This window comes from Homo sapiens, chromosome 11 (genome assembly GCF_000001405.40).
Source record: "Homo sapiens chromosome 11, GRCh38.p14 Primary Assembly".
NCBI lineage: Eukaryota > Metazoa > Chordata > Mammalia > Primates > Hominidae > Homo > Homo sapiens.
This window is the reverse complement of record NC_000011.10, coordinates 93,380,251-93,395,202: the sequence shown is the minus strand read 5'-3', so window position 1 is coordinate 93,395,202 and position 14,952 is coordinate 93,380,251. Positions and strand designations below refer to the sequence as shown.

The 14,952-nt window shown below is 35.6% G+C and overlaps 1 protein-coding gene across 17 annotated transcripts in view; it reads right to left on the bottom strand.

The window, feature by feature from the left end:
* DEUP1 (deuterosome assembly protein 1) overlaps positions 1–14,952 on the bottom strand; it is a 108,473-nt gene that overhangs the window by 43,268 nt on the left and 50,253 nt on the right. For 14 of the 17 annotated variants that reach the window (XR_007062456.1, XR_947798.3, XR_007062457.1 and 11 more), the window contains exons 8-10: positions 9,660–9,805; positions 6,078–6,183; positions 547–744 (exon numbers count right to left, since the gene is read on the bottom strand). Coding sequence is in view for 14 of the 17 variants with exons in the window: in XM_011542631.3 (XP_011540933.1) it covers positions 547–744; positions 6,078–6,183; positions 9,660–9,805 (450 nt within the window). In the remaining 3 variants the exon portion in view is untranslated. Of the gene's footprint in view, positions 1–546; positions 761–6,077; positions 6,184–9,659; positions 9,806–11,592; positions 11,729–14,952 lie in introns of those variants that run through there. The other 3 variants (XM_011542638.3, XM_011542636.3, XM_011542637.3) reach the window with 3 other exon arrangements.

The window sequence follows — 14,952 nt, the reverse complement described above, 5'->3', positions numbered from 1 at the left end:
GTTACTTGTAGTATTTTAACAGAAGAATGTTACAATTGCTGTTTTTCCTCACGTACCATGCTGTGCATTGACTGCATGTTCAGTAAATATGAACTAATTTTCATGTTTCAACATCCATTTGTAAAAAGCCTGAAAGAAATACATGAAGTGTGGGGGAGGGGTAGGAAGTGTTGAAGAAGAGCTGGAATAGAGACTTTTTTTTAAAGATAAAAATGTTAATGGAAGAGAAATACAGAAAAACATACTCAGGAAGAAATATTTGATTAGAGTGTACTGTGGGAGGTGATCAGAATATAGGTTACAAGAAAATGGAAAGATGAGATTTAATGAAATTGTCTTGCACTGTCATTTCCCTAGTCCTTTTTGTTGGTGACACTTTGTGTTATCTCTGAAAGGTTTTATGTAACACCACAAAGCATTTCTGTGAAGCTAGTCTCAGAAATAATACCAAGAAATGTAATGTTTTCATTAGTCAATAATGAAGGCTACTATTGGCACTGAGCAAGAATGTGCCCTAGACAAGTGCTATTCTGCCTGCTTGCATACCTTTTGTTTTGCTAACATTTTTTCTTTTATTTCTAATTCCATTTTTAACTGTTTTTCCAGAAGGGCAGCTTTCTTTGTGACAGTTGCTATAGTGATCTCCTTCTGATGAAGCTCTTCTGTTAGGTCAGAGATTTCATTCCTCATTCTTTCCTGCTCAGAGTTATGGTACTCTTCCACCTGTTGGAGTTGGCTTCTTATCTGCAGCAGATAGAGACTGGAAATATTATTGAATCCTTTTATTTATAGAGTAGCTTAAAATTTTACTGGCCATGTTCAGTCCTTCTATTCTGAAACTTTGTCAGGGCCCACTTCACCCTCCTTTTCTGATCAATGCTAAATTAAAAACAGATACATATAATAATGACTCATTACCTTTTTTCCTTCCAATTCCAACATTTCATTTCTCACTTCTATTTTCTGTTGTATGCAAATCATCACCTATGACTGATACTACTTTGATAACCACTTTGAGAGGAAGGTAAAGAAAGTATTATCAAGCATTTTCATGGAGAAAAAAATTGGCTTTAAAATGGTTACATGATTTGCTCAAAGTCATAAAGCTAATAATCGGCAAAGCTAGGACTGGAATCTAGGACTCTTGGCTTTAAATTCAGTGCTTTTTTAAAACTAAAATAGGCTGTACTGTTTGTAACTAAACATTTGTTTCTCAGAATCACATTACAGTAAACTTCAAACAATGTCTTCATGAAAACTCATCACTTCCCTTACTTAAGCCTCTTATTTTCTGAATCTTGGCTAAGCTTCCATGTTACAAACCTCTGGATTGTCTCTGACTCCTCTCCACCCTTGTCCTCCCAAACCTGGTCAGGCAATGAATTCTGTCCATTCTATTTCAACCTCTTTTAAGTCTTGCCTCTGTCTCCATTCCTACAACTGCTGTCTTTGTCTAGCCTCTTAGCATCTTTCTAGAAACCATTACTGTTTCTAATTCTTGAGACTTAAAGTACATAATCATCCGTCTAAAAAAAAATCATAGTCCATTGGGGAAACAGAAAAATAGACGATTACAACACAGTGTAGCAATTAGTGTCAGCAGTATGTAGTGGCAGTGTGTTTAACCCAGCCTAGGGATGACAGGATAGGATTCCCAGAGGAAGGGTCATCAGACCCAAAACTGAAGGATGAATGAATGCCAATTAGAGATGCTCTAGCCGGGCGTGGTGGCTTGTGTGGGAAGCTGAGGTGGGAAGGATGCCTGGAACCCAGGGGGCAGAGGTTGCAGTATAGTGGGCTGAGATCATGCCACTGCACTCCAGCCTGGGTGACAGAGCAAGACCCTGTCTCAAAACCCTGTCTCAAAAAATAAAAATAAAAAAAATAAAAAGGCATAGAAAAAAATAGAACATATAGATGCTCTATGAAAAGTAAAAACATTAGCCGGGTGTGGTGGCATGTGCATTCAGTCTCAGTTAGTCGGGTGGAAGGGGCACTGGGGTGGGAGGATCCCTTAAGCCTAGGAGGTCTAGGCTGCAGTAGGCCCTGATTGCACCACTGTATTCCAGCCTGAATGACACAGCAGGATCCTGTCTCAAAAAAAAAAAAAAAAAAGAAGGAGGAAGAGAAGAAGAAGGAGGAGGAGGAGGAGAAAGAAGTAGAAGGAGGAGGAGGAGGGCTCAGAGGAGGAGGAGGAGAAAGAAGGAGGAGGAGGAGGGCTCGGAGGAGGAGGAAGAGGAGGAGGAAGAGGAGGGAGGAGGAGGAGGAAGAGGAGGGAGGAGAAGGAGGAGGGATCCCAGGCAAAGAGCTCAGTGAGTGAAAGCATGGCACACTCAGTGAACTAAAAGGAGTTTAGGGTAGCTAGGAGTTAGCTGCTCTGAGAAATAAGGCTGGAGAGTTAAGTAGAGGCTAGCCACAAAAGAAACATGAATTTTCTCCAGGGCACTTTTTTAAAATGGATTTTTTTTTTCATTTCACCTTTAAACATTTCAGTATATATCTTTAAAAGAACAAGGCTCTCTCTTTTTTTTAAATGTAGCCAGAATGTTATTACAATGTCTGTAAAGATTAAGAATTCCTTAATATCATCAAGTATCTAGGCAGTATTCAAATTTAAGCTTGTCTCAAAAATATAATAAATGTTGTTTAAGTTTAATTGAATTAGTATCTAAACATGATCCATTCATTGTGACTGGCTCATATATCTTTTTAAAGCCTCTCTTTTTGTGTGTTCTAAGTAGTTTACATGCATCATCTCATTTAATCCCCACAATGTCTCTCTATTTTGCAGACTACTGTATTTAGCAGATTAGAAAATTAAGGTGCATAACTTTTCACATCACATTTCTTGTGAAAGGCAGTCTAATTCCAGGACCTGTGAACTATTGTGCTCTGCAACCTCTGTGGGAAGGGTCCTGGAAGGTGTGGAAGGTGGTTCACATTTGGAAAAACCTGAGTTTTAGGGGTTGACACCTACAGAGAGATTGGAAAAATCTGGGTTTTAGGGGATGACACCTAGAGTGAGATCAGAAAAAGCTGTGTTTTAGGGGATGGCACTTAGAGTGGGGTGACCTAACATGGAAAGTACACATGTCCAGAGGCAAATGTGATCACCATCAGGCTTTATGCCACCAACCCTTCCTTCATCTGATTCTATTCATATTACCAGCATATTCAGAGTTTCAGAGTTGGATATGACCTTAGAAATCACATGATCGAACCTCATCATTTAACAGATTTTTTTAAAAAAGAGTCACAGGAACGAGAACAAGGCGGAAACTAAGAGACACGAGCACAAGTATCCTAACCCGGAGGACAATATTACAAATCTCCTTTAAATCTCTTCTGTCTCCAAGTTTTTACCTTCCAATTTATTTGATGAAATAACACGGTCAGTCTATAGTTTGTCCCAGTATGGATTTTGCTGATCGCATCCCTTTGGCATAGTTTAACCTGTTCCACTTAAAATGGAACTTTTTTTTTTTTTTTTTTTTTGAGATGGAGTCTTGCTTTGTCACCCAGGCTGGAGTGCAGTGGCACAATCTTGGTTCACTGCAACCTCCACCTCCCGGGTTCAAGTGATTCTCCTGCCTCAGCCTCCCGAGTAGCTGGGACTACAGGTGAGCACCACCATGCCTGGCTAATTTTTGTATTTTTAGTAGAGACAGGGTTTCACCATATTGGCCAGGATGGTCTCAAACTCCTGACCTCGTGATCCGCCCACCTTGGCCTCCCAAAGTGCTGGGATTACAGGCGTGAGCCACGGCACCTGGCCAAAATGGAACTTTTAAAATATAAAAAAATGAATATACTACTGTGAAAAAGGAGTAAACTATTTTTATTATTTTCACAATATTTAGATGTTAACACAACATACTATACTGCAAAACTTCTTTCTTAATGAAAGAAGAAACTAATTTACCTGAACTCCAAATGACTTTTGGTTTATTGAAAATGTGAATGTTATCACAAAATAAATGGCTAAAACAGTTCTAGACTGGAAAAAAGGAAAAGAAATAAAATACTTGCAAGATTCATAATACATAGCTCTTGTTAGTTTTATTACAAAAGAATTAAAATGCTCTTCAGAAACACTTGGAAGCTTTTTTTTTTTTTTTCCTGAGACAGAGTCTTGCTCTGTCGCCCAGGCTGGAGTGCCATGGCGCAATCTCGGCTCACTGCAACCTCCGCCTCCCGAGTTCAAGCAATTCTCCTGCCTCAGCCTCCTGAGTAGCTGGGATTACAGGCGCCTGCCACCGCGCCCAGCTAATTTTTGTATTTTTAGTAGAGACGGGGTTTCACCATGTTGGTCAGGCTGGTCTCAAACTCCTGACCTGGTGATCTGCCTGCCTCAGCCTCCCAAAGTGCTGGAATTACAGGTGTGAGCCACCATGCCCGGCCACTTGGAAGCTATTTATATAAAATTCATTTGTTACCTTTTTTTTGCACAGCATTCTGGTATTTAGTGGCCTCCAAGGGTCTATAAAGAATTCTGTGCCTCATACTCTCTCCCACCATGTCAAAACTGTGCAAAGTCAGTAGATTCTTTATATTACTCAAAGTTTTATTACTTTATCTAAATCTATGAGGTTAAGAATCATGTAACTATACTTTAGGTGGCTTTAACCAATCTTTTATCATTCACTGGGGACACCAGTAAAAAAGAGTTTTTCAAAGTTATATTTTTAAGTCAGCAAAATAAATTTTGTGGGATTATATGGCATTAAAGTGTTCAAAATATATGAAAAATGATCACTGATTCATAACACCTTTTCTCTACTTAACCTCTGTTAGTTCTCTGACAGTCAACTCTTTGGCAGACAGTACCTGTCTTTCATATTATTGTGTTTCCTATAGAAATTAGCAGAATAGCTATAGTTCTCCTAGATACTCAACAAATGTTTGTTAAATTTGTACAAACAACTGAATTTATGACCCTATATATTTATGGGAAAATTTAGCCTTAATATTAACTCATTCTCTAAGTATTTAATTTACTGTGTGTCAAGCACTATGCAGTGCACTAATTGATAATTCAAAGCCACACCCAGGTTTATTTAACTTTTAATTGTTTAGATTTTATAGCATTAAATATTCTGCCTGATCCTCAAACCTAAAGACCAGAGAGGTGGAGAATAGCTATGATAAATTCACAGAAAGAAGGCCATTACTGGATTGTACTAGAGGGAGGAGAGAATCATACTCTTTGTAGGAGAGTAAAGAACCACAAGCTCTTTAAGGACAGTGCCCAGGACTTACTCATCCTTGTATTTCTAGCTCCAGCAGAGTTCCTGGCACATGTTAGGTGCTCAGTGAAAAAATGTGGGTGCAATAAATAACTACTGAGCCAATATTTACTAGATACTTCCTCTGAGCTAGATCCTATTTTAAGCACTTTAAGTGCATTATCTCATAGATTTTACCTTAGGGTAAGAGTATGGATACTGGAGCCAGATTGCCTAGATTGAAACATGGCCTCTGCCACTTAATAGCTGTGTAATGTTGAAGAAAGTTACTTTTTCTTGGTGCCTTAGTTTCCTCAAATGTAAAAGGAGGGTAATATTAAGACCTATTTCATTAGATGTTTGTGAGGAATAAATGAAGTAGGATTTCTTAAGTCCTTAGAACAGTTCCTGGCACATGTTAACTGCTAGTTAGCAGCTAACTCATTTAATCCTCATCACAAACTTATGAGGTAGGTACCAATTATTTCCACCTTAGAAATGAGGCTCCTCAGTATCTTGCACAGGAAACTTCTCCAAGCTTACGTGTGTGGTTGAGCACCAGAGTCTGTGCTCTCAACTTTCTTGCTATAAGCCACCTATCATGGAGCCTCCAGCCCTCCACCCTCCACGTGTCGTGGGCAGTCTCCCAGTAGCACAGTGATAACTTAAGGTTTGTGTTTTTTGTAGTCTCACACAGAAAAATGTCGGAATTAGCAGCTTGGTAGATTATCACCTTACAAAAAAATACAGAAGGAAAACAAAGGGAGTGAGAAGAAAGATTTTTTTTTAACTCCCTTTGTATGTAAAGAGTTCACATCTACCTGGAAGAATGGAGCTCATTATTTTTCATACCTTGTTCAATTCTTTTTCATGATTTGGTTGATCTTGCATCACTGAAAACAGCTCTTTTATTTTCCTTTCTGGTTCTTTAATAGAAGGCAAATAAGATGATTCAAGTCTACAAATTAAACATAAAATAATGATTAAAATTAAGCTTAACTTGATAAATTGTAACGATTATATTGTTAATTTAGACCATTACAGGCTGCGGAGATAGATCATTACTTTGTTGGAAACATTTTTAGTTACAGAAATTGCAAGTTCTAATACATTCAGATCCCATAAGTATTTACATCTTTAAGTGCAAATGGTTTCAATGGAAGAAAGGAAGCAATTAATAAGGAATTTCAATTATACATTAAAAATTGGCAGAATACTGGGATTGCATATGTAGATAAGATTTTGGGAAAAAAGAAAAGACTGTATGCTATAATAAAATAGCTTGGTAACCCATTTAAAAAAAGGAAACACACCCAACTTGCTAATGTATTGTGGAAAGGAACTATGTCATGAGAAGTCTAAGGGGAGCAACTGTTCTATAAAAGAGATAAAACATCATTAACTCTGACAGTCTAACCAGAGAGTACTCAAATACATCTATTCTTTGGCTGCTTAATTTATAAAGTGGAATTGCAACCACATATTAATATTAGAGGAGAAAAGCAGAAACTAGTATAAAGAGTATAATACCCACAGGAGGTTTGAAGATGTCTAAGCAGATAATGTTCACTTTCATATGAGACAAACCAGTGAAATAAAAATCACAAAAACACAAAAATAAAGATAACCAGGTAGGGGAAGCAGCATGCTTTCTACTGGAAGTCAGGCTTGACTATTCTGGAGGAGTCTGTTGTTTTGAGGAACATATCCACTTGTGAGTACAATTTTAGGTTTCCAGATAACTTTTGAGAAGATTTCACACCTTCAGAAATTTCAACCACACAAATAAAAAACCCAAATATGAGTAATGATAAAGAAATTGCTAATTTAAAGATTGAAAATAGAGGATCTGTTATAAAAGGTATTAAGTTGGTAGTGATATCCCTGAGTTACATGTATCTAGACTAGATTGCTTTTTTTGTGATTATCAAATATATATGTTAACTGTGGATAACAAAGTATATCAGAGTATAATATACTGCTGTAATGTTAACATTCAGGAAAAACCATCATTAGCATTTTTATGTGCGGTAAATATATTTTTCCCTATGCATATATGTGTGCAAAGAAATATACACTTCCCATATAATTAGAACATACTATACACATTATTTTTCAGTGTCCTTTTGTTTCCTACTTAGTAATATATTGTGAGCATTTTCCATTTTATCCAATATTCTCCTAAAATATTATTTCAGGATCAGTCTTAAGTTTTCATTATTTCCTATAATTTGAAATGAGTGAAAAATTTCCATATTTTTTAATTCTTCCTAAGCAATTTCAGGAAGTAGAATGCTGAATTGAATGCTAAAATCCTCATGGTGGTCTTGCAAAATTCAGTGAGTGAATGAAACAAATGTCAAACTCCAATGTGGACAAGTGAATAGAAGAAAACCGTAATCATGATAATATAAAATGCTAATGTACATGTATAAGGGAACTATTATTTGTCATGTAGAACAAGAGTATGAAATTAGTTTAATAACTCTCAGAACATATCAACCCAGGGTGCTTCTACAACTAAAAAAAAATAGAAAAAGCTAACAAAAGCTTAGCATTATTGAGAAAGTTTCTGAAAATGAATAAGAACATTACCATGCTACTTTTATAAAACTACTATGCATCTATTATCAGTAGTCTGGGGTATTTCACTTTGATACAACTACAAAGAAGCAACAGTCTAAATAAAATAAACCAAAACAATAAAGCTGATAGAACAGCATTCATATGAGAACAAACTAAAAAAATTAGACTCTTTTAGTGGAAAAGATGAAGGCTAAGAATTCTAAAATACAATGGAAGTTGTGAAAAGTTAAACTTATACCTTTTCATCAAATCTCAGAATTCTAGAACTGAATTCTAGGATAAGAAAGCTGTAGTCTGGAGACCAAAATAAATGCCAAGTTAAATAGAGGATGGTAAACAGGCAGAACAAAAAAGTTTTTACTGGCCAAATATATAAATAAGTGCAAGATTTTAGATCAAATAGTGTATTGAAGGGCTGTTGGCACTGTTTGGAATTCAGCATGGGTCTTAAGAGCACCATAAAAAGTACCTACAATGCTCTTCACAAAGCCAGAGCTAGACATGGGTTGATTGGTGTGCTCTTCTGTGAAATGTCTTATGTTTTTAGGAATATATTTTCTTCATGTGAAGACATTACTCACCATACTGGAACAGCACTACATGTAATAAATATCAGATTGATTAGTAATCAGTGATGATAGTATACATCTTGTATACAGAGCATTCGATAATGCAGATTGGCTAATAGGCATTCTGTCACCATCCTTGGTGAGACACACAAATAGGTCATTTTAGGGATCTTAAGTTGCCATTTGTTATTAAGCATAGACCTCAAAGAAATGCTAGCAGGTCTCACAACTTTGAAGGTCTCACAACTTTGAAGAAATAATTATTGCCTTTAAAACAATATAACAATCTTTCAATAAAGCATCCCTATTTGGCTATTCAATTTTTAAAATCCTATCATTGATCTGGCATTAGCTTTCTGATTTTGAGAAAGATTCAAGTTCTATGAGAATAAGAGCATCAATGAACTATTAAAGCAGTCAAACTGTCTATTCACACACACAAACATTTAACAATCCTCAGCAGTCCCATTTTGTTTGTGTTTATGGAATATACAATATCTGTCTGATTTCCTTTGTGTTTATGGAATATACAATATCTGTCTGATTTTAAAAGAGAAAAAAAAATCTGTTTTAAGAAGAACCCTCAATGGAACAGACAAGATGGCGAGTTTGGTGGCCAAAATAAATACAATATGTACAAGTGAAAATGTTGACATCAGGTATAGGCAATCAAAACAAAGGCATTTAAAAATATAGAATAAATCTTATTTCTCTGAGTATACATAATTGAATACCAGTTCTATACTATTTTTGTATAATATCTTTTTTTTTTTTGAAACAGGATCTCTGTTGCCCAGGCTGGTGTACAGTGGCACGATCACAGCTCACTGCAACCTTGACCTTCCAGGCTCAAGCGACCCTCCCAGCTCAGCCTCCCAAGTAGATGGGACTACAGGTGTGTGCCCCCATGCCCAGGTAATAAAAAATTTTTTTGAAGAGTCAGGGTCTCACTATGTTGCCTAAGGCTTGTCTTGAAATCCTGGGCTCAAATTGTCCTCCCACCTCGGCCTTCCAAAGTGCTAGGAGCCACCAGGTCTGACTCAGTGTGACAGAAATATCCATAAATCAGGACATGATATAATTTTCTAGGTAAGTGAAGATGTTAATTTTGAAAATGAAATAACCATAAATTTTATTTTTAATATTTAATATTACCCACTAATTAACATGTTAATACAAAATAGACTTTATATTCTCATTTCAAATATAAAACTCTTAAAAACATTCAAACATCATGTTTTGAACAGTTCTCTCAGATTGTCAAATATAAAGATTATACCTTGTTTTATTTCCTTGAGCATTTTGGCACTCTCCTATTTTTAATAATTCTCTGTGTAATTGCAATCGTTCCATTTCTATAATTCTCAAGAGATCATCACGTGACTGTAACTCACTTTTTACCTCTGAGAGACCTGCTTCCATGGCCTGAATAAAAACATCAAAAAATTTCATGCTCATTGTTGGTTATCATAACGTACAATGCATTTAAAAATATTTAACATCTATAAACCAGCCTAATTTTAAACAAACTGATATTTAGTCCTTTGCTTGTTCTGTCTCATAGAATTCCATTCCTTCATTTTTGTTTTCTTTTCTTTTTTTCTGAGATGGAGTCTCACTCTGTTGCCCAGGCTGGAGTGCAGTGGCACGATCTTGGCTCATTGCGACTGCCTCCCGGGTTCAACCAATTCTCCTGCCTTAACCTCCTGAGTAGCTGGGTTTAAAGGCTCGTGCCACCATGCCCAGCTAATTTTTATATTTTTAGTAGAGATGGGGTTTCACCATGTTGATCAGGCTGGTCTCAAACTCCTAACCTTGTGATTCTCCCACCTTGGCCTCCCAAAGTGCTGGGATTACAGGCGTGAGCCACTGCGCCTGGCCTCCTTCATTCATTTTTTCTAACAAATATTTACTGAGTTTTTATTAGGTGCTCTGGGGATACAGACACAGAACCTGTTCTCAGTGAACTTACAATCTAGTGGCAAAGACAAAGAATAATCAAATCATCACACAAATATGACACTGAGTGTGAATATGAAAGAATGAAACATAAAAGTATGAAGAAAGTACAATGCATGAAATTTTAATTAATACAAATACTTTCAAATTGTAAAAAGATAATAATCAAGAATAAGCTAATGGCAAAGCTGGCCAACAAAATGAATTATAAACTGTGATTCAACCCTTGCCCAATGGCAGCTATTCTTTAGTCAGTAACTGGAAATACCAGCAATCCTCTGGGTTCAATGTTTTATTTTGTTAATAAAAGAAGCTGGAACTAGGTTAGCAGTTGTTGGCAAGGACCCATTAGAAGAGAGTAGAGGTAAAAGGAGTGGTGTCAAGTTCCTAAGAAGGTGGATAGGATGACCCTCAAAGCACATTGGGAGAATTGCCTAAAGCAAAAGTAAGGCCCTCCTCTCTGTAACAGGAAGGAAGGAAGATGGAATGCAGACAAGTTTATGCATTTAGCTAAGGGGATATTAAGAGACTGGCTATCTCTTGGCTTCTATTTTCTCTGTGAAGTAAAAAGTAACATCATGTTCTAACAGTAGAAGGAGAAGTGCAGGGTATAGGAGTGATTTTTGAGAGTGGTGAAGAGTTTAAATGGCTTACAATGGCAATGAAAGAATTAGCTACTTGGAGAAAAAAAGCCGGATTGCTGGGCAGTGTTGAGTGCTCATTTGAGGTTGGGGACCATGGCCTGTTGGGTGATTTTCTGCAGCAGTACTTGGCTGTTCTCTAGGAGACAGCAATGGAAGAGTCTTTTAATATCATCAGGTCCCTTCCACACAATTATACAAGGAAATTAATGTCTTTAAAAAATGCCTGACTTATGTCATCAAATCCATTGCCATTTTTACAGATGAGGAAATTGAATGCCAGACTTGATCCAAAGTTACACAACTCATAACTACCAGATTTTGGAAGAGGAAAATCCAGATCTTTTGACTCCTAGTCCAATTAGAACATTCAGGATGAAAAAATAATCCCTTCCACTCAAAGTTAAATAGACCTCTAGTGTATTGGTAAAGACAGGATGGGAGGTTCTAAGGGCAAGGGTCTTCTCTGCTAGTAAAGGCTATAGAAAACACTATATTTTAAAAAATTGTTTGTTCAATAATTCTTAATATATAGATATACTGAATATTCATTGAAATATAATCAATATTATTGAATTATTAATAATATTCATTGAAATATAATCCACATACCATAAATTCGCCCATTTAAAGTGTACAATCCAGCAGTTTTCAATTTAGTCACAAAGTTGAACATCACCACTACTTTATTCCAGAGCATTTTCATCATCCCCAAAGGAAACCTGATACTCATTAACAGTCACTCCCCATTTTCCCCTTCCTCCAGCTCCTAGCAACCACTAATCTATGTTCTATCTCTATGGAATTGCCTATTCTAGATGTTTCATACAAATGGTGTCATACACTATGTGGCCTTTTGTGACTGCCCTCTTTAATGTAGCATAATGCTTTCAAGGTTCATCCATGTTGTAGCATGTATCAGTGGTTGATTCCTGTTTATGGCTGAATAATGTTCCACTATGTGGATATACCACATTTTGTTTATCTATTCATCAGTTGATGGACATTTGGGTTGTTTCTACTTTTTGATTATTATGAATAATGCTGTTATGAAAATTAATGTATAAGCTCTTATGTGGACATATGCTTTCTTATTTATTAATTCTTATACAGAAGTTCACAAAGCCTAGAAGAATAATTGTATAGAATATATAGGATATAATGAGTTCCCAGATAATTTATTTTTACCAAGCCTTAAATATATGCTGTTTTCCAGGAGGCCTGTGTTCAGTGAGGGGCATAGTAGCATTACTTTAGCCCCAGAACTTCCCAGCCACCTTGGAAATAAATATAAAAAGATTCAAATTGGTGACTTAATAGACTTGTTTGGATAAAGACTTGTTTGGATAAAGCCTCCGTTTTGAACAGTGGAGATTTTTCAGGCAAGATTAAACATTTCAATAATAAAAGAAATGCAAAACAATAGATTACCAATCAGAAATACAAATTGACTTAATGTGAATGTCTCCCATAACTTTGCCCAGTTGAAGAAGGCACTATGTGGGCTCCCTGGTTTGCAAATTTGCCACTAGGGAGCAATCAAATATGAAGTTGCATGTAGAAAAGTGCATCTGCTTTCACTTGGGGAAGGGGAGTCCACAAAAAGCTCTAACCTTAGGCCTATAAAATATAGTGTTGCCACAGGCTAGGGTTAGCTGAAACTCTGTAAAATATGGTAATAATAGAATATATTTGTTTACTGTTATTAGAAAATAATATCTGTAAGAGTGAAATTTGGAGACACCATTGACAGGAAAAAAGCTTATTCATGACCTAACTACACAGGTACAAGCATATATGTTAAAATTCAAACTTTTCATAATACAAATGAGTAATAATGATTTGACATGTGAATGAATATGCAAAGTATTTTACTTACAAATGACAGCATGTAAATTGGCTGCAAAAGTACAAGAAAAATTTGAAGGCTTTCTTGATATTGATAAATCTAAAATTGTTTTTTGACCTTGAATTCAAGATTAATACTAAATTAACACAAGAATTAGTGAATTGATTTAACTGAGATGTAGTTTTAAAATTAGTATGCTTCTGCATGAAAGTCAAATCAATTATTTGTGAATGTGGGTGCAAATATTGAGGAAAATGATTCTTTGGTACTTGACTCAGTTACTGGAACATTTTCAAGTTTGTTTGGAACAACTTAAGTATGTAAATCAACTTTTTTAACTGTAAAATTGTATGGGATCTAAACACAGATCAGGTACTTCAGATGAATACTTAGCATGTAATATGAGATATGTTGGAAGCATAAAATACACACCAGATTTTGAAGACTTAGTATGAAAAAAAGTAAAAACCTCAGTAACTTTTTATATGTTGATTACATTTTAGAATGATAATATTTTGGATATATAGTGGGTTGAATAAAATATATTGTTATGATATGTTAGTTTCACTCATTTTTCTTGACTTCTTTTAATTCGGCTAGTAGGAAAATTTAAATTATATTTGTGGCTTACATTATATTACTACTGGACAATGTTGCTCTAGCACCTTAATGACACATTAACAAGCAAACAAAAAAAGGTTAGCTTTTCTGTCATAGATATTAGAAAAATGCAGAGCAATCTATTTTTGTCATTAACTTCCCAGGAAAAATATTGCACATTTAAAAAACATGTAGAGTGTAGCATAATGAATAAATATATGCAATGAAATTAATAAGCATACTGACACATTTCAAGGTTGTGGAAAGACAAATGAGATGTGATTCATGTGAAAATTGAGATGCATCTGCTATTAAAGTGTGCCATAAACAAAGAGAATTTTACATATAAGAAATGACAGTAATTCAGATGTAAATTGTTGTCTTTTTGCATTTATGTGTATGATGTGGAACACTGTCACGACAGTTTTGTGAAAAGGGAAGAGAAACTTCTTTCCAAATACATATATTGGTTATAGTATCAGTTACCTCTAATTATTCCCATTTGGTAAAATATAAATTTTGTAAAACATGTTTAAAGCCCATCTGTTTAGTTAGAGGTTTGCCTAATGGTTTGAGAGGAGCAGTGATTCTAAACCTTCAAATCAACTATCAAATATAAATAATTGATGTATTTTCATTTAGATTTATCCTAAAGAATGAAACGTGAGTAAAATTTGGAAGTGAAACAGAGGAAAAGCTAAATTAATGCAATATATTCAGGATTTTTACCTAAATGGATGAAAAATACTTAGTGTTTTCCTGAGAGTAGAAATCTTTCAGACATCTTAAAGTTTTTGAACCAAATTACTTTTCAAAATCTTTTCATTAGTTCTACAACAGATTTTGTTTTTCATAAAACATGGTCCAGAATAATTTGATTTGATTTTTAATACATGTGATTCTTTTGTAAAATATAAAATGCAGATTCTTAGTTCAAATTTAATAATGGTCCTAGATCCAAGGATAACTAATTTTTTTTAAATGAACAAATACTTGTAAAAAAATAATATTGGTAAACTTCCTCATAGAAATCAGTATAAATATCAGTCACATTAAAAGTTGTTATTAGCTGGCCGGGCGCGGTGGCTCACTCCTGTAATCCCAGCACTTTGGGAGGCCAAGGTGGGTGGATCACAAGGTCAGGAGATTGAGATCATCCTGCCTAACTTGGTGAAACCCCGTCTCTACTAAAAATACAAAAAAAAAATAGCCGAGCATGGTGGCCGGCACCTGTAGTCCCAGCTACTAGGGAGGCTGAGGCAGAAGAATGGCGTGAACCTGGGAGGTGGAGCTTGCAGTGAGCCGAGATTGCACCACTGCACTCCAGCCTGGGCAACAGAGCCAGTCTCCGTCTCAAAAACAAAACAAAACAAAACAAAACAAAACCCAAAAAAACAGAGCAGGATGAAATTTCTCAATCAAGTTCTATCCACTAAAAATATGTGAGTCACAAATGCAAGCCACACAGGTAGTTGTTATTAGCTACGGAAAACATCACAAAATGAAGTTAGAGAATTACTAGT